Source organism: Homo sapiens, chromosome 3 (genome assembly GCF_000001405.40).
Source record: "Homo sapiens chromosome 3, GRCh38.p14 Primary Assembly".
NCBI classification, from domain to species: domain Eukaryota; kingdom Metazoa; phylum Chordata; class Mammalia; order Primates; family Hominidae; genus Homo; species Homo sapiens.
In genome coordinates, this window is record NC_000003.12 from 31,387,746 (window position 1) to 31,408,205 (window position 20,460).

General features: G+C 37.9%; 1 annotated feature.

The window, feature by feature from the left end:
* Positions 4,719–4,928: an enhancer, noted in NCBI's record as "active region_19628". NCBI's record gives its function as "activates an Ori minimal core promoter by ATAC-STARR-seq in GM12878 lymphoblastoid cells {active_cell/tissue: GM12878}" and the evidence as "EXISTENCE:reporter gene assay evidence [ECO:0000049][PMID:35858748]".

Consider the following 20,460-nt stretch of genomic DNA (forward strand, 5'->3'; position numbering starts at 1 on the left):
GTTTGTATGGTGTATCTTTGCCCACCCACTATCAACTTTTTTTTTTCTATGAAATTTGTCTCATGTAAACAGCAAATGTTAGATCTTGCTTTTTCATCTAACCTCTGACTCCTTGGCTTTTGCACGGAAGTTTTAGTCTATTTACATTCAATTTTATTATTGATACAGTGGAATTTTTTTTCTCTTTTTCTAATTTCCTACCTTCTTTTGGATTAATTAGGTTTTGTTTCATTATGTTTTGTTGTTTTTAAGTACTTTATTTTTGGTGTTATCCTTTAGTGATTGGTCTAGAGATTAAAATATGAATCTTTAGATATCAAGTAAAATGATATTAAACTACTTTATTAATAATTCAGGAAACTTACAACATTCTAATTGTATTTAACCCCTTTCATATCGTTTTTGCTCTTGTTGTCATATGAGTTACTTCCATATATGTTATAATCCCACAATATATTTTTATTACTATACTTTGTTTTAAAAAAAATGGTCAATAATAAAGAATATACATGTGTGTGCATGGAGCTATACATTATATATACATTATAATGTATGTAATTATACATTATATAATGTATAATTATATATAATGTATGTATAATGTATATTATACATTATATATTACAGTGTATATAATGTATGTATATATGTATATATCATATAATTATATATGATTATACATTATAATTATATATAATGTATATAATGTATATATAATGTATATCTCTATGCACACACACACGCATATAGTCTTTATTATTGAACATTTAAAACAAGATATATATATTAAACCATTTAAATAATGTATTTATAAATTACTTGTAGTAAGAATTTGCCATTATTCTGTAAGCATAATAATATGCCTTTTTCTTCAAACTAATTTTATTTTTTTTTATCTTCATCTTTTGGAAGTTGACTACAATTTGCTTGTAGTTTATTTTGAATTTATATTGCTTGAAGTTCACAGAGATTTATGGATCTGTTTCATCAGTTTGGACACATTCATGGCCATCGTCTCTTCGAATATTTTTTTCTGCCCCATTATCTCTTTCCCTTCTTTTAAAACTCCTATTATATTTGATCATTTGATATTGTACCTAAAGTCTCAGATTTTTTTTCAGTTTTGCATACTTATTTTCCTTTTTTATTCAGTTTATATAATCTCTTTTAGCCTTTCTCCATGTTTACTGATCTTTTCCTGTTAGTAAGCCTATCAATTCAATTATTAAAATTAATTCTGATAGATATTTTTCAATTCTATCATTTCCATTTGGCTTTTAATATTTTCCAATTATTTTCTGAAAGTCTACATTTGTTGTGCCACATCTGAGTCTAATTCTTTTAACTCTTTTTTTCCCCCTCTGGATTATAGGTCACATTTTCTTCCTTTGTCTCCTGACTTGTTTGTTTTTAAAAATTATGTGCCAGAGATTTTGTACAAAAGTACAATGAAAACTGAAGTAAATAATATTCACTCCCAGGAAAGAGTATGCCCCTTCCTCTCTCAGGCCACTAGTACATGGATGGGTGGCAAGAGAAGGGGACAGTGGTGAGTCAGTCTAATCTGAAGTTTAGCTGAATTTGGACATTGTTGGCATCTCATTTAGTGAGATTTAGTTCAAATATTCTGATGGTAGGATCAGACCTCTTCAGCAGGGCTTTGGATCTGAGCATCAGTGACAGTCTGGAAACTTCTCTGTGCTTCGGACCTCTGTGTCCAGCTATCAAGTTTTTGGGTTGCTAGTGAGTTCCATTTGCTATGATACCAATTTATTTTGTTTTTTTTTAAACTTGGAAATTATTTAAACTCCCTACAAGAAGAGAATGCTTATGTAAGTTATAGAAAAACCAGTAGTGAAAATGTATGCACTGGTTTATAAAATACTTCTGAGGAAAAAGCAAAATCCTTAACATGTAATGTTAAATTTAAAAAAACAGAACATTAAGCTATATGAAACAGAAACTATGCAAAAAATATGTATATACATAGAGAGAGAAAAATGAGTATTGAAAAGAAGCCCCTAAAAATAAAATGTTTGAGTCATTCATGTCACAGGATCATGAGCTGCTTTGTTTTAATTTTTATTTTGATTTCCACCGATATTGCCAGTTGTATTATATATGATATAAAGTACTTAAAAAGACAACCTAAGTCATTTGGGGCAAATCTTAGACAAGTCAGAAATAACAATAAAATATCTTAGTCTATGAAAGATAATCCAGAGCAGAAACAGGCCAGCTGTCCTCTTCTCCCTTAAGGCCCACACAAAAGGAAACTAGTTTAAAATATAGCAGGAAGACTGAATTAGGAGAAAAGAAGAAAGAGCCTTTGGACCATCAGGGTTGTAAAATGATGGCTAAAATGACAGAGTAAGAAAAGAGGAATGACTTAGAAAAACCCAGGTGCTGGGTAGTTCAGTCCTGCCCATAGGTTCTACATTAATTGATGATAATGTTGTCAGACATCTCAGAGGAAACCATCTTTATTTCCATCACTATTATTACGGACTGGAACTGATTACTAAGGGAAGCTCTGGCATTTTTTCCCTGGAGGCCATTTAAAATCAGACATGAACAACTACCTATCTAAATAACTCAGGTCCCATCATGCCTAGAGGCAGGGGATTGAACCAAATGGCCCCTAAAGGTCCTTTTAAACCCTATGACTTTGTGATTCCTCTGCTAATAATATTAAGAAAGTGTTAATACCTAACTTTTTTCTAATCCTTTTTTATTTACTCTCTACTTGTATTTTTTCAGATTGGAAAGGGAAACTTCTTCCTGCAAATAGTCCATTCGCATCTCTCCCTGACACAAGGCTGAAATTTTAGTATTGCAAATATCACTGGGGAATATTTCTCAGCTGCAGTTGATTATTTCTTCTTTCACTACCAGATGTCACTGTACCTGGAAAGAATTCACTTAGCAAGGAAGGGGGAGGCAGTGAGCTGCAGAGGGAAGAAACAGTGTGCCAAAGAAACTGGTGGGTGGGCCTGAGAGAGAGTGGAGGAGGCTGGGGAAAATTTGCTAAAAGTCAGAGACACAAAACTAGTATTTGAGATTAAAAATAAAATTAACTAAGCCATAGTTTGCGTGTGTGCACATGTGTGTATTTAAAGTGTCTTAAGACACCAAATTCTACACCATTCAATCGAAGCTATTTGACCATAGCAATTAAAAATATTAATGATGCCAGTCTGAATCCTTCATAAGAACTCATCCCAAGCTGCCAGAAAAGGCAAAAAGTTTTAGGCAAGATTTACATACACCCATTCAGAATGAAAAATTGGTGACCTGAAATTAGCGGCCAGAATGAAAAGTAACCAAATAAACTTCTATTTTACACCGGAATTTATCATCTCTCTAATTTGTCAGTGGTCAATTCTGGGAGTGCTTTTGGAGGACTGCCTTTTGCCCTTCTTTGGAATGTGATTTTCATCCAGGGAAGAAATGAGGGCAGGAATTATTGAAAGCCCTGTTTCAGATCAGCATTAACAATTCATGGAACTCATCTCTAGTTCTACCCAAGGCATTTGGAAGGACACCTGGCGTGTAGCAAAAGCTTGTTCAAAGTGTCTCCTAATCTGCTTTGAAATGCACAGTGGATTGGGGCCAACACAAGGTCAGCACCCGTCCTCATTTAGTGAGCTGGCTGGCTGTGCTCCTCCGGTAGAGGAACTGAGAAGACAGAACCTACTGCAAATCCACTGCAGAGTTTTTCAGCTGGTGGCTGAGGGTCTTTTGAAATGCAAACCTCTAGAGCTGAGGGGGAAGCTTGTTTTCCATTCTGGGCCACTGGCTCACAGAAGGGGAAAAAATAATCACCGAAAAGTAATTTAGGTTGGGTGATTTACAAAGTGAGAAAGATCAAAGGTTAAACTCACACAATTTAAATGTCGAGAATAGGGAATTTTCAACATGATTCATTAAATATACTCAATTTAGGGGGATGTATCTTGATTTCAGATGAGAAGCAGGTAAGGAAGACTTTCGTTCCTTCCACTCCACCAAACTTGATGCAGGTAAAATTAATGCATTCTACAGCACTGCCCATTCCCCCCAGCCACACTCTCTTCCTCTGGCTTCTGCGATGCCAAACTCTTCTGGTTTTCCTCCTCCTCCAACTTCCCACTCTTCAGTGTCACTTGCCAGGTCTTCCTCCTCTTCTCAAACTTGACTATGATATACCCTTGACCATGAACTCCTCAAACTTGACTATGAAACCCTGTGATATACCTGCCTCCTTCAAGGTTGGTTCTTTAAGGCTTGGTCCTAGGCCTGCTTTTATTCTGCCAATGTACTACCCACCCACAGGACCTCATCCACACTGTAGCTCCACACCTTCTCTAAGCAGATGATCATGTGTTTGATCTTCATCCACAGCTCCAGGCCCACACATCCAGCAGCCTGCTGACTGTGCCCCTTGTATGTCTCACACACAACTCAGCGTGATCCAGACTGACCTCCACCCCTTCCTTCAATCCCAGTCTTCCTCCAGTGTTTCTTTCTCAGTGAAAGCAAATCCATCTGCTCAGTTTCAAAAGCTAGAAAACTAAGAGTCAGTCTTGAAACTCTCTCTCCCTCACCCCGCATCTAATCCATCTCCAAATCCTAAATATCTCCTCTTCTCTCTACTCCTAAAGTCCAAGCTGCCAGCATCTCTACATCCAAAATGGCAACAGCTTATTAACCAGTTTCTCTGCATCTACTTTTGCTCCCTTCAGTCCGTTCTGTGCATACCAGCCAGGGGGATTTTTCTACAGGGCAAAGCTGATTGTGCCTTGCTCCTGCTGAGAATTGTTCAATGCATTGTAATGCTTTTAGGATAAAGATCGACATCCTTATCACAGCCCAGAAAGCTGTGAAAGACTTGTCTGCACAATTCTGCAGCCTCACCTTGAGATACCTTCCTGCCTTCCATGTCCTCTCCCAGTTCCACTCTAAAAACCACACAGGTTTTTCATTTTCTCAAGCTCACCCTACTTCTCTCCACCTCAGCACCTTCAAAAAGGGCTGGTTCTTTTCTGGCCTTTCATGCTTCCTCCTCACCTTGTCTAGTTTCTTCTCATCTTTTAGATCTCAGTTCCTCACAGAAAGCTTCCTGCATCCAGAAAGCCAGGTCAAAACCTCTGCTTACTCAGTGTCGCAATGTCTTTGACTTTCTATTTTTGTAAGACTTTTCATACTTTTTCATTAAATGGTGACTCTACATATTTAGTTGTTTTCTATCTTTTGCATTGCTACTTTTCCCAGTGCCTAGTACTGTGCCCTGCACATAAGATATATTCAATAAGACTGTCCCGAATGAATGAATGAATGAATGAATGAATAATATAAAGAGATAAAATCACCCAAAAAATGAGAAAGATCATTTCTAGCCAACTTACTCATAATTTGTGTGTTTTTATTTCTTTGAATTTGGTGAAATGCTATCTCTCTCAGTTACTTTTTTTGGTATTAGCAACCAACTTAAACCCCACTGGATTTTTTTTACATTAACTGAAGTCAAGCCAGGTATATCTCTATGCTTAAGCAATTTCTGTTTCATTTAAATGTAAAGTTTTATATTTGAGAAAAAAGTATTTTTGAAATGAAATTCTGCAAGTCAAGATAATAACTGTTCTCACCAGATGTCATTTGAAAATACTATAATCATGACTTTCATGCCTTTTTCAAATTGTTAATAAATTGTCTTCTTATGCTAGCACCACAAAAACGCTACGATACACCTGCCTCTTTCCCCATGTGGCAGGAATAATTGGTCAATTAATTCACTAGCCTTTCCCCAACCCTCTTAGTTTTTCCTTTTTAGTTATAAAGTTTAAAACATGCCAGAGACCCACTTTGCCAGTTTTCCTTGAAGCTAGTGTTGTCTAGTGAGAAATAAGGTACACCTATAGAAGAAATGTGGAAACATATTTTGCTGTCATTTAAAAAAAAAAAAAAGCAATATCAACCCAAGACATACTTTTTTAACACAATTACTCAATTGCTTCTACTTTTGAGTGTGGTTGCACTGCCTGGAACCATGGAAGCCATCTGATGATCATGAGGTAACAAGCATGAAGGAAGAGTCAATACGATGAAAATGAAGGAGCTTCTGAACCAGCCTGTTATGCCTATCCACAGAGTTCTTGTTATGAGAAATAACTGTATCTTCATTGCCTAAACCACTAATAGATAGGTTTCCTGGGATTTACACTCAAACATATCTGAAATGATGCAATCAGTTAGAACGGGACATTGATCAACATTCCAAGTATAGTTGATCATTCAGACACAACTCTGTCTACCTGTATTGAACAGCAATCATCATTTCTCTATCTTATCCACAAAGCTGTCTTGGAGACTTTATTTTAAATTCCTCATTCAAGTCAAGGTACATTGAGACTGTGAGATTTCTCTCCTTTGAAAGTTCTGTAGGTTTACCCTATAAGCATTGCTCTTGGCCTGAAAAGAGTGTAGATAAGAGATATAGTGAGCTCAGGTCTTATGTCCGTGAGATTTGGTCTGGATTAACATTAAGCTTCTTAAGACCTTACTTTCTATCACCTTCGTCCTCCTCTTTTTCATAATTATTTTTTGAAGTGGATACGTACTCTTCTGAACATATAAAAATGAAAAAAACAACAAAACAAAGGCAATAAGTTCTCCCTGCTGCTCCTTCAAGCCCTTTAATGGTTCTTTATCCTGACAAATTCTTCAGAGGCTTTCTCCAATAAATAGAATAGTCACAGCATCCCCTGGTTTTAGTTAGACTATCAGCTGGAATTCTGTATCAGAGACCCAAAATAACAGTGGCCTCAATAAAAAGGTGATTATTTCTAACCTAACAGCCCAGGCATTGGCAGTCAGAGTGGTATGGTAGCCATAATTTCAGGCAGTTTCCCTCTTTCTTCTTCCTCTAGCATATCTTGTTGGCTTTTCCTCTTGGCCCACATCCAAACCATGGCATAAAAATGGGGACAGGAGAATGGAAGATGTTCTTTTCCTTTTAAGGCATGACACAGGAATTGCCCTCATCCCTTCTGCCCACACGTAATTGACTAGAACTTAGTCACATGGCCACATCCCGGTGTAAGGAAGGCTAAAAAATGTAGTCAATATTATGGGAAGCCATGTGCACATAAAGATCAGGGATTTTACTACAAGAGAACAAAGTGAGAAAAAAAATTGAGGAACAACTTACTGTCTCTATCAGAACACCCTCCCAAAAGAAATCTTATTTTCTGGGCTGAAGTTGCAGTAACAAACTGTAAGGTAACAATCTAAATGAAATCAAGCCAAAGGCCAAAGCTGGCTCCCAGGTTAGACAGAGGTCACCCACTTCGATAAGCAAAGCTCAATGTTTTCTAAGAAGATTCTCTATCATAGTGGTTCTCAAAGTAAACTTGGCACCAGGAACATCAGCTATCAGTGTCACCTGGATATTAGAATTGCAAATTCTTGGGCCCCACCTCGACTTACTGAATCAGAAACTCTGGAGCTGATGCCCAGGAATCGGTTTTAACAAGCTCTCCGAGTGATATTGACGCATGTTCAAGTTTAGGAACCACCACGCTGTAAAGTATAGCACTTCATGGGCTTATAATGAGCACTTACTAATTCCTACAGTAAGACACCAGATTACCTGAGTAATTCTTGGGCTCAGGTGAGCAATGAAGTGTTCAGTTAGGAAAACGTTCTGGTCATAAAATGAATTCCAAATAAAAAAATATATCCTTATATCAAGGAGTCTTTAATTCTTCTTAGGAAAGATTCTATTAGGTTTACCTTCAACCTTTTCAAAAACAACAGTTTTTCATCTGCAAAACAGAGTAGTGAAAAAAACAGTTATACAGAAGTGGATTGAAAATCAAGCAAAAGGCAAGCCCTTCTCTTACTGTATTGTCATCATAAAGACATGGACCAGCTAGCTCTCTTTTGGATATAGTCAGCATTATGAATAGCGTGTCACATGGAGTCATCCTTCCCTAAGGGAAGGGATGCCAATCACTAGCTCAACAGGTGGAGGCAGGGGTCTCTGGGGGAATCCCTCTACACAATGCTTCTCTTTTCTGGCTCATGTATCTGAATAATTACTTATTTCTACACTCTTGCCTTTCTCTTCAGGTTTCATTACTTATAAGAGGTAATATATTGTATTTATAATCATTACATCGGGGTCTCTCAAACTTTAATGTGCCTGTGAATCACCTGGGGACCTTGATAAACTGTAGATTCAGATTCAGTGGGTCTGGGACCAGGCCTGAGATTCTGCATTTCTAACAAGCTCTCAGGTGAGGCTGATACTGCTGGTCCACAGACCATAATCTGTATAAGAAGGATTTGTAGTATTAAAGGATAGAGAATAGAAGGGCTATTTCAGAAGGCCTCCCAAATTTACCTGATGAAGTCACCACCCACGGTGACTGTTTAAGCTTTCACCACCAGGCATGTTTAAAAAAGAAAAAAAGACACCTATTTACTGGGAGTAGTGGACAAAGAGGATAAAAAGGAAGTGGGGCACATGATGCCCATTCCCCTAATTATTGTCCCACCTTTGCTTTCAGGACAGGACATCTTCACAGTCTGGGTGTTTTCCCTGGGAATCATTATGGTTGATGACAGGTATTCCCTCATGCATGCATTTATTTTAAAAACATTTATTAAGCAATGACTACATGCCAAAGGGGTCAACTCAAGTCTCAACACATTAACTGAATGAGCAGAAGGGCATCATCGAAGTCCCTTGCCCTAACTGGGCTTTAGCCCCTTGAAGTGCCCCCATCACTCCTTCTGTCCATCTGAGCACTGGCTCATCTCCAGAATATTACCTTGGAAGTAGGGGCTCACTTCTCATTGGGTTGTTTAATAGCTTTGAGGCTCATTTATATTTGACTCAATTTCTTTATCTTGCAAAAGACAATGTTTTCCCGTTGGAGAAGATAGGTCATCCAGGAGTACCCCATGGACACCTGTCTCCTCTATGTACTTACAGAGCTAGTGTACAGCATTTCTTCCCTCAACTCAAAATTATTCTTTTAGTCAGGTCTCAATGACAGAGAAGCTGTATCTGATTTACTGTACACACTAAACCCAAACATTCTCAATGTCTTAACAAAAAGATTATTAAGACAAGAGGAACTTTTGGAAATTTCCCATATACATCCTGACTCTCCTTTCCTCATCCTCCACAAAAGACCATTAAGAAAACTTTAAGAACCCTCCTATTCAAGGGAAATCAAGACATCATGCAGGCCCTGGACAAATTAAACAACAAGAATATGCCTGGAAAATAAGAAAGTACTAATTGGAATAAAGGAACAGAAAATTTTAAAATAAGTGTATCCTAAAAGTTTCAGGCATATATTCATCTTGGCACTGGGTAGCTAAAAGTGTTCTAGAGGAGACATAGAAGAGGAAAAAATGATACAGAGAGCAACACAGAGAAAACACAAAGACTGTGTGCTTTATAATTCTATCATTCAGGGTAAGCTAGTCCAGTGTCTCTGAACTGATTTTTCATTATCGCTTCCCTTAAAGAGTCTTTTTGGACATTTTTTCTTGATCCCCCAACCCATGATATTTAGTTTGTAAAATTTATTTATTTTTAGTTGCCAAATAAAAATTATATATATTTATGGGGCACAATGTAATGTTTTGATACACACACACACACACACACATCATGGGAAAATTAAGTCAAGATAATTAACATATCCATCACCTCTTATATTTATCATTTTTTATGGTGAGAACATTTAAAATCTACTCTCTTAGCAATTTTAAAATATACATTATTATTAACTATAGTCTCATCTCCATGCTTTTCAGTGGATTTATAGAGCTTACTTCTCCTGTCTAAATGAAAATTTATACTCTTTGACCAATATCTTTCCATTTCTGTTCACTTCTCCCTGAAATTTGAATACCACAAATGTGCTAAGTATCTGCTTATGTACAGTGTGTGCACACTGTTTTTTTTTTCTCCTATCCCAAGAGCCAATTTTCATACTCTTGGAAGTCATATTATCCACGTTAGGTTAGATGCAAAGGTTAGATACTGCTTGGTAACACACAATCCCAATTTTTTAAATTATTATTAGACTTTAAGTTCTAGGATACAGGTGCAGAATGTGCAGGACTGTTACATAGGTATGCATGTGCCATGGTGGTTTGTGGCACCCGTCAACCCGTCATCTAGGTTTTAAGCCCTGCGTGCATTAGGTATTTGTCCTAATGTTCTCTCACCCCTTGGCCCCCAACCCCTGACAGGCCCTGATATGTGATGTTCCCCTCCCTGTGCCCATATGTTCTCATTGTTCAACTCCCACTTATAAGTGAGAACATGCAGCGTTTGGTTTTCTGTTCCCTTGTTAGTTTGCTGAGAACGATAGTTTCCAGCTTCATCCATGTCCCTGCAAAAGACATGAACTCATCCTTTCTTATGGCTGCATAGTATTCCGTGGTGTATATGTGCCACATTTTGTTTATCCAGTCTATCATTGATGGGCATTTGGGTTGGTCCCAAGTCTTTGCTGTTGTGAACAGTGCTGCAACAGACATACGTGTGCATGATTTATAATCCTTTGGGTATATACCCAGTAATGGGATTGCTGGGTCAAATGGTATTTCTGGTTCTAGATTTTTGAGGGATTGCCACATTGTCTTCCACAATGGTTGAACTAATTTACACTCCCACCAACAGTGTAAAAGCATTTCTATTTCTCCAAATCCTCTCCAGCATTTGTTGTTTGCTGACTTTTTAATGATCGCCATTCTAACTGGCTTGAGACGGTATCTCATTGTGGTTTTGATTTGCATTTGTCTAATGACCAGTGATGATGAGCTTTTATTCATATGTTTGTTCACCACATAAATGTCTTCTTTTGAGAAGTCTCTGTTCATATCCTTCGCCCACTTTTTGATGGGGTTGTTTTTGTAGATTCTGGATATTAGACCTTTGTCAGATGGATAGATTGCAAAAATTTTCTCCCCTTCTGTAGGTTGCATGTTCACTCTAATGATAGTTTCTTTTGCTGTGCAGAAGCTCTTTAGTTTAATTAGATCCCATTTGTCAATTTTGGCTTTTGTTGCAATTGCTTTTGGTGTTTTAGTCATGAAGTCTTTGCCTATGCCTATGTCCTGAATGGTACAATCCCAAAATTTTAGTAGCTAGTTACAACAAAGCTATTTATTCACATCCTCTGTTTATCACAGATCAGATGGGGTAGGTGCTGCTCCCCAGATCTTCTCACCACAGAATTCAGGCTAACAGGGCAACTGCCAATTCCAGTGTTTCCAGTTGCCAATGGAGGAGAGAAAAAGAGTGTTCTGGAAGTTTTCACACCTGCAATTAAATGCTTCAGCCTAGAAGAGATATAAGTCACTTTTCCTCTCAGCTCATTGGACAAAACTAGTCATATGGTCCTTGCAACCACATAAGGTCCAAGAAATACAATTCTATTGTATACCTAGCAGGTGGAGAACAGGAGGAAATACTAAGCAAAAGGCACTAAAGATTCAAAGCAACCTTGCCTTTGGCCAGCCCTCCCAATCAAAGAGAATATGCTGCTAACTGTATACAGACAGGCTCTCTGGACCATAGGACATAAACTTACCTCGTCCAAGGCTCACCTGAGTTCTTGCCAAAATTAATCAACAGAGACACTTCCCCTTGCCCCATCATCCTGTCCAATAACAGTCCATTCACACCCCAACTACACTGTAGCCACAAACTCTCCACATCCTCTCTTTCCTCCCTATCACTTCTACTTCTACTCCCCCAGTATTGAAAAGATCAAAAACCAGCAAAAGGAAGTTAGAAGGCTAAGAAGACTGTCTGTTACAGAAACTCTATAGATTGCACAATTGTACCTTTTAAAGAAAGCAGATGAACTAAATACAGATTGTTTAACACAGAGGCAAGGGTCATTAGACCAAGTGAAAGAAGGTAGAGGCTCAAAAAATAACTGATGCATGAATGAATTTACGATTAGATAAATCAATGAATGAAAAGCATGATGTGCCATCCATTTTTCTTTTCTTTTTTTTTTAACTTTCAGGTTCAGGGGTACATGTGAAGGTTTGTTACAAAGGTGAACTTGTGTCATGGGGGTTTGTTGTACAGATTATTTCATCACCTAGGTATTAAGCCCAGTGCTTAATAGTTACCTTTTCTGCTCCTGCCCTTCCTCCCAACCTCCACCCTCAAGCAGATCCCAGTGTCTGTTGTTCCCTTATTCGTGTTTGTGAGTTCTTATCATTTAGCTCCCATTTGTAAGTGAGAACATGCAGTATTTGGTTTTCAGTTCCTATGTTAGTTTGCTAAGGATAATAGCCTCCAGCTCCATCCGTGTTCCAGTAAAAGTCATGAGCTTATTCTTTTTTATGGCTGCGTAGTATTCCATGGTGTCTGTGTACCACATTTTCTTTATTCCATCTGTCATTGATGAGCATTTAGGTTGATTCCATGTCTTTGCTATTGTGACTAGTGCTGCAGTGAATATTCACATGCATGTGTCTTTATGGTAGAATGATTTATACTCCTCTGGGTATATACCCAGGAATGGGATTCCTGGGTCGAATGGTAGTTCTGCTTTTAGCTCTTTGAGGAATTGCCTTCCTGCTTTCCACAATGGTTGAGCTAATTTACACCCCCACCAACAACGTATAAGTGTTCTCTTTTCTCCACAACCTTTTCAGCATCTGTTATTTTTTGACATTTTAATAATAGCTATTCTGACTGGTATGCGATGGTATCTCATTGTAGCTTTGATTTGCATATCTCTAATGATCAGTGATGTTGAACTTTTATTCATATGCTTGTTAGCCACATGTATGTCTTCTTTTGAAAAGTGTCTGTGATGTCCTTTGCTCACATTTTTTTTTTAAGACGGAGTTTCATTCTTGTTGCCCAGGCTGGAGTGCAATGGCCAGTCTCAGCTCACTGCAACCTCTGCCTCCCAGGTTCAAGTGATTCTCCCACCTCAGCCTCCCAGGTAGATGGGATTACAGGTGCCCACCACCACAACCGACTTTGTTTTTTGTATTTTTAGTAGAGATAGGGTTTCACCATGTTGACCAGTCTGGTCTCAAACTCCTGACCTCAGGTGCTCCACAAGCCTCAGCCTCCCAAAGTGCTGGGATTACAGGCATGAGCCACCATGCCCAGCCCTTTGCCCACTTTTTAATGGGGTTGTTTGTTTTTCGCTTATAAATTTGTTTAAGTTCCTTATAGATGCTGGATTTTAGACCTTTGTCATATGCATAGTTTGCAAACATATTCTCCCATTCCGCAGATTTTTTGTTTACTCTGTTGCTAGTTTCTTTTGCTATACAGAAGCTCTTAAGTTTAATTAGATCCAAATTGTCAATTTTTGCTTTTGTTGCAATTGCTTTTGATGTCTTTGTCATGAAATCTTTGCCTGTTCTTGTGTCCAGAATGGTATTGCCTAGGTTGTCTTCCGGGGGTTTGGTAGTTTTGGGTTTTACACTTAAGTCTTTAATCTATCTTGAGTTGATTTTTGTATATGGTGTAAGAAAGGGGTCCAGTTTCAATCTTCTGCATATGGCTAGCAGTTATCACAGCACCATTTATTGAATAGAGAATCCTTTCCCCGTTGATTGTTTCTGACAGCTTTGTTGAAGATCAAATGGTCATAGGTGTGTGACCTTATTTCTGGGCTATCTATTCTGTTTCATTTGTCTATTTGCCTGTTTTTCTACCAGTACCATGCTGTTTTGGTTACTGTAGCCCTCTCATATAGTTTGAAGTAAGGTATTGTGATGTCTCTAGTTTTGTTCTTTTTGCTTAGGATTACCTTGGCTATTCAGGCTCTTTTTCAGTTCCATATGAATTTTAAAATAGTTTTTTCTAGTTCTGTGAAGAATGTTCTTGGTAGTTTGATAGGAATTGCATTGAATCCATAAACTGTTTTGGGCAGTATGGCCATCTTAATGATATTATTCTTCCTCTCTGTGAGCATGGGATGTTTTTCCATTTATTTGTGTCTTCTCTGATTTCTTTGAGCAATGTTTTGTAATTCTCATTGTGGAGCTCTTTCACTTTCCTGGCTGGCTATATTCCTAGGTATTTTATTCTTATTGTGGCGATTTTGAATAGGATTGCCTTCCTGATTTGGCTCTCAGCTTGGCTATTGTTGGTGTATAGGAATGCTAATTTTTTTACATTGATTCTGTATCCTGAAATTTTGCTTAAGTTGTTTATCAGCTGAAGGAGGTTTTGAGCTGACACTATAGGGTTTTCTAGATATAGGACCATGTTGTCTGAAAACAGGGATAGTTTGACTTCTCTTCCTATTTGGATGCCCTTTATTTGTTTCTCTTGCCTGATTGCTCTGGCTAGGATTTCCAACACTATGTTGAACAGGAGTAGCCACCCATTTTTCAAAGTCCTCAAATATACATTTCCTTTTATTGCTGTTTTATTTATCTTGATTTAGACAAGTGGGGCTCTCCTTCCTTTCTTGCCATGTTCCGGTCTTAGCTAAACAACAAGCTCTGTTTCCTTGTGGTCCCATCGTTGGCTTGACAACTTGATTTGGATTACCAGTGTTTATTACTCCACTTCCTCTTTCCTTCCTCTCTATTTGCAGTCAAGGTCTTATAACTTGGCCCCTTCTTTAAATTATTCTGTAACCTAATTGACCTATGACTATCCAAGCTTCAAGTTAGCCCTTTTCAAAGTCCCCAGAAGAAAGGATCTGGTGACATAAACACACCAGCAGTGAAACAATGATATTGACAAGTAGAAAGAAAGTAACTGGTTATTGTGAAATGCCAGATGCATGTGCACAGAGTCCTGCAGGTCCAAGCCAATAATTGTTTTAAGTTTGTTGTTTCTCTCTCTCTTTTTTTTTTCCCCTTTTCTTTAAGACAGAGTCTCACTCTGTCACCCAGGCAGGAGTGCAGTGGTTCAATCACAGCTCACTGAAGCCTCAACTTCCTCAGGTTCAGGTGGTCCTCCCACCTCAGCCTCCTGAGTAGCTGGGACTACAGGCACATGCAACCACACCTGACTAATTTTTTCTATTTTTTGTAGAGATGAGGTTTCACCATGTTGCCCAGTCTGGTCTCAAACATCAGACCTCAAGTGATCCATCCGCCTTGGCCTCCCAAAGTGCTGGGTTTACGAGCGTGAACCACTATGCCCAGTTCATTTTAAAAAGCATTAATGAAGCAGGGGGTTAGCAGTCAGTATTTTTCCTTTTTCCACACATGGTTATGTGCCCAAGCACTCTTGATGCAAGTGGCATAATGAACTATGATCAAGAACCAGTCATTTGTCCATTTAGGCAGTTCAAGTGTCCAAGTGGAGATTTGTCACTTTCAAACCAAAATATCTACTTGAGTATTAAAATATTAAAACCTCTCCTGAGACAGGGCTAGGGATAGAGTGAGGATATAGGGAATGGGAGTTAGTCTTTATGCTCTACAGAGCAATGGAGTCATTTTTTTTTTTAATACCGTTAGGGGAAAGGAAGAAGAAGAAGAGGTTCCCAGGTCAGCAGAAAAATTTTGAGTCAGAAATTGTAGAACCAAGCCTCGGAAAGGGCAACATAAACTTGCTTTGAACACAAATCAAACATCATTAACACACCAGATGGCCATCTGGGTTGTCTGTATCCTATAACATGTCACTCCTTGCTAGGTGCTCCAGAGAGATCATAGATTTCTATTTCCATTTCTATTCATCTGATATTCTTGGCAAACAACATAATGGAGAAGAGAGAGTGCAGACCGCATAGAAGGAAAAGGATCTTTCTTTGCCCTTTCCATGTAGGCAATATATTCATGATCATGCACATGTGTATTGATGACAATATGAGACAGGCACTCAACTAAGAAGCACTGGAAATATAGCTGTGACCAACACAGACCAAGTCCCTGACCTCAGGCAAGTAACATTTTAATGCAGGAGAACAGACAATAAGCAAATAAACAAATGAATAAGGTAATTTCATGTGACAATAAATGCTAGGAAGAAAATAGAATATTGTGATTTTTAAATGATATGAGAGTTAGATGTAACTTTAGATAGAGGTCAAGTGAGATTTTCTAAGACAGTGTCATTTGAACTGAGACCTAAATGATAAGAAAGGGAAGAATAAGTACAAAGCCCCTGAGGCAGTAATGAGTTTGGTGTGTTCAAGGAACTAAAGGAAGGTCATGTGCTGGGGAAGTGAGGAGGGGAACGATAGGAGATGGAGTTGGAGCAACAAGCTGAATCCAGGTCATGTGCAATCTTAAAGACCAAGGTCAATATGCTTGAATGTCTAAGGGTATGCGTAGTATGGTTGTCCCAAGTCAGAGTTAGGATAGTGAGCATTGAGTCTGTTTTCCTATATGTCTATTCTATCCCAGCCTCATTGTGTAGCAGCTGGTGAATGGGGGAATTCTCACATCTTGTTTTGTTATAAAAAAAAAAAATTATTCTGTTCTACATCAAGTTTCCTAGGAGCCTACCCCAAAATAAGGATTCCTGTATAAGTAATTTATTAATGAAGTGTGCCCCTCAAAAAAGCAGTAAGGGAGGATGGGGAAGTAAGTTAGAAAACGTGTGGAAACTAGGGAAGGGAGAAATCTCAGGCAGAGTCCCACAGGTAGGGCTGCAACCATAGAGGGAACACTCCAAAGCAAAGATATTTAACTCAACATCTCCAGGTTGTCCCAATTTGAGGTGAGAAAGCTGGCTTTCATGGTCTCACACTTGAGAGTCATTGACTAAAGGCCGTCCCAGGAAAAGTGAGTTCCAATGTCCTGGGTACAATTCTCAAAAAAAAAAAAAAAAAAAAAAACACACACACACAAAAATACTGGAGGTGGTAACTGTTGGAAGCAAAAGCACAATGAAGTGTATGCACACAGACACACATGCACACACACACAGGTAAAATCAGATCTAGAGGGTCTGGTAGACCACTGCTATTATCCACTATACATCCTAACTGAAATACCTAGCTTCAAAATATGGTGTCACCACTTACCATCTCCATGATCCCAGTTTTCTTATCTATAAAACGTATATAATCATAGTGTCTACCTTATAGGATTATTCCAATGATTTAAATAACAATAATGCCTTTAAAACTCTTAACACAATGCCTAGCATATGGTAGCCACTCAGTAAATGTTACTATTTTTTTCACCTAATCAGGCATACCAAAAATAAAATCTAATGGAATATTTTCCCACTTATTGCTTTTTCCATACTCACATGAGATCACAAAAGCTCCACTGATTTCCATGAGCATAATAGCTTTCAAATAAGGTCAGTTAGCAAGCTAGAGGATTATCCTCAAAACCTTCGAAGAGAAATAGGACTGCATTCCCACCTAATTATACATCAAGGCATCCTTAAGAATCTCTCTTCCCACAGTGGAGGACTAGGAATATTCTTAACAATAACCAAGGAATGTCATTAGCTGTCATAAATAGATTTAGAAATCACAGATATCCAAAGGATTTCAACCAAATTCTTTATATTGGAGTTCATTATGGGTAATAATAGACATGTGGCTGCTTTGTGGACTCTTGGATATATTTCACAGCTTCCACAATTGCATTTCAAATGCTATCCTACTTCCTAATAACTAAGGTACATGTTCACTTCAGCAAAAATTTTTTTAATCTTGATTAAAGGACCCAATGTCAAAGAATCTCTATTTAGCACTCAACAGGAATTTGAACATTTAATCATGTTCATGCCTTTCATCATCCCGCTTCCCAGCACCTACATTTTGAGCTGTTTCCAGGTTGGCCTATTTCTTTCCATCCATTAAAATGAGCCCACAAGAAGCAAGGGATGACCTAAGTACAAGAATTAGAAACTAAACTCAGTAAGTGCAAGTCCTATACAGAGCAAGATAGTACTCAGCTCAGAGTCTAGTTGGAAAGGAGAGTAATAACACTCCAGTCCTTGAAGTCAGCACAGTCTATTTAGCTGGAATTTCAGGGCCCATGACTGATAAAGATTGTTTGTGAAAAGTAGTTGGCTGAGATGTATTATCCTCCATGGTTTTCTCCCTTTCCTTGCCAAACCCCGTGAAATTCCAGTAAAGGAATTTTTTAAATGTGTTAACTCAAAAGGACAAACAGAGCAGAAGAGGAGACAGCAAAGGGATAGAGTTACAAGTGGACTGAAAACACAGCAATTAAGTAAAAATCCGCATTCTTAACTGTAGGAACTTTAGCCTCCTTCTTCCACCTGCCCCAAAATGACAGTAGCAAGGCAACTTATTTCCCCTTCATCCCACGCCATTATGGAGGCTGGATTCTTCTCTGCAAAAGCTGACCAGCACAAATATAAGACCTTTCAAGACATGTAGCACTCCCCAAGAAAAATATCTCCTTCATGAAACAGAGGTAACTATTAACTCCAAGAACAACCAAAATTGTATTCAGATGTGACCATAATATACTACTTATCTCAGCAGTGAATGGCATTTGTAGTTTGAAACGATGTAAACACCAGCTCCTTGAAACCAAAATTGTGATAGATTGGGTAGATGGTGGAGAGGGGAGGTGGAGACAGAAGGATCAGAGAAGTGTATACAGCAGTGAATTTCTCAACTATCTTGCAGGGAATATAAAAAATAACATAAAAAAATCATAAGATTATTATTTGAAATGTGGAGGTACATATTAGATGTAATTTCTAAAAAGAATTGAAATGGGTTATTTCTGGAGACTGAAAGTAAAGGATGAAGAAAGGTGAAAGAGAAGGTCACTTTTGATGTAATAAATGTTTTAGCACCAATTTTTTAAAAGATTATAAGCCAGTTCAAAACTAAACATCAAAAACATACTCAGTTCTCCAGAAAGCAAAAATTCAAATCAAATAAATAAGATATCAAGCTTACTTTAGGCTCAGGTCAAAAAGTATATATATTGTCCTTTCAGTTTTGATTCTCTTTGATCATTTTTGTACACACACACACACACACACACACACACATCACTCTTTATTCAAACCTCCCTAAGATGTGTATTCTTATGTTTCTTATTTTACTTTTGATCCTTTTGATTCAGTATCAACATTGTAATCCAGTTGTTGGTCTTTCTTGTAAGATTGCCAAATAAAATAAAAGATGTCAGTTAAATTTCAATTTCAGATAAACAGCAAAAGTTTTTAGTACATCCCAAATAATGCATGAGACCTACTTATACTAAAAATTATTTATTGCTTATCTGAAATTCAAATTTAATGGGATTCTGTATTTTTATTTGCTAAATCTGACAACCCTATTTTAAGGATTATCTCTGTCTATATGCACTGCACATTTGCTTCTGAGTTAGTCCAAACTGCAGCTGCCTTTTTCCATCACATGTTCCCTGTCTAGCATTCCCAGCTCCATCTTGAGCCATCATTTCTTTAAGCCTTGTCACTAGAACTGCAAGGCTCTTGTTCATCCTGAAGAGGGTACAGCCTCTGCCTTGCTGGCCTCAGCCAAAGGGTGATGCAGAGACGGTGGTATTTCTTTTGCTGCCCTGTATTTAGACATCTGCCACTGACCTACAGTCTGTGACATTGTAAAAGATTGGTGACACTTAACACAGAATAATAAACATGACTTCGAGTAAAATTTAAAAAAAAAAAAGGAAAGCTTTCACTTGGGGTCCTCTCATGGAAAACTCCAGTTCCTGGCTTACTTTTTTCTCTCATGGTCAAATAGTGCCACATCCTCTTCTAGGCAATAAAACCCACCACCATTAGTCCTTCAGAATATGGGCCCTTTCTCCCCTTTAAAAGAACTTAATTCCTCACAGTCTTGCCCTTCTTCTACTAGAGGACTTTATTAGGATTAAGAATCCCCCCAGCAAAGAGAATAATGTTCTATATCTTGATTGTGGTGGTGATTACATGAGTGCACATCTTTGTCAAGTTTCCTGAATTGTACACATAGAATGAGTGCATTTAATAATATATTAATAACAAGTACCTCAATGAAATTGATTTTTTTAAATATCCCCTAGCAGTACTTTTACTAAATCATGAGTTAATCTTTTTGGAATCTAAAATAATGCCACAGAGATTTCAGCAGCACGGCCCAGGATTTTCTTTTCCAAGTTTGGATTTCCTCCAATTCTGGCCACCAGCATGAAGTGGAAATATGTCTTCATTTGTTCCTTGTAGCGTTCTACCCTCCTGTGGGTACTTTTGAATAAAACACACACACGCACACCTCAAAGAGTATACAATACAGTTTATCTGAATATCTTATAGAAAGGAAAATTATTTAGTAATGAACTCTTTATGTAGCTTGGAGGCGTGTGCAAGATATAGCTTGGAAGAACAATTCAGTCAAGGCAAAATTATGGGCATCTTTATAAAAATGCACTTGCATATGAAACAATATTAAAAGTGGAATTATATTAAGCAAGAATATCCTCTGAACTGTTATACGTGTGGTGGGGGAGGTGGAGTTGGGGACATTTGACTCCATCAGCTTCTTA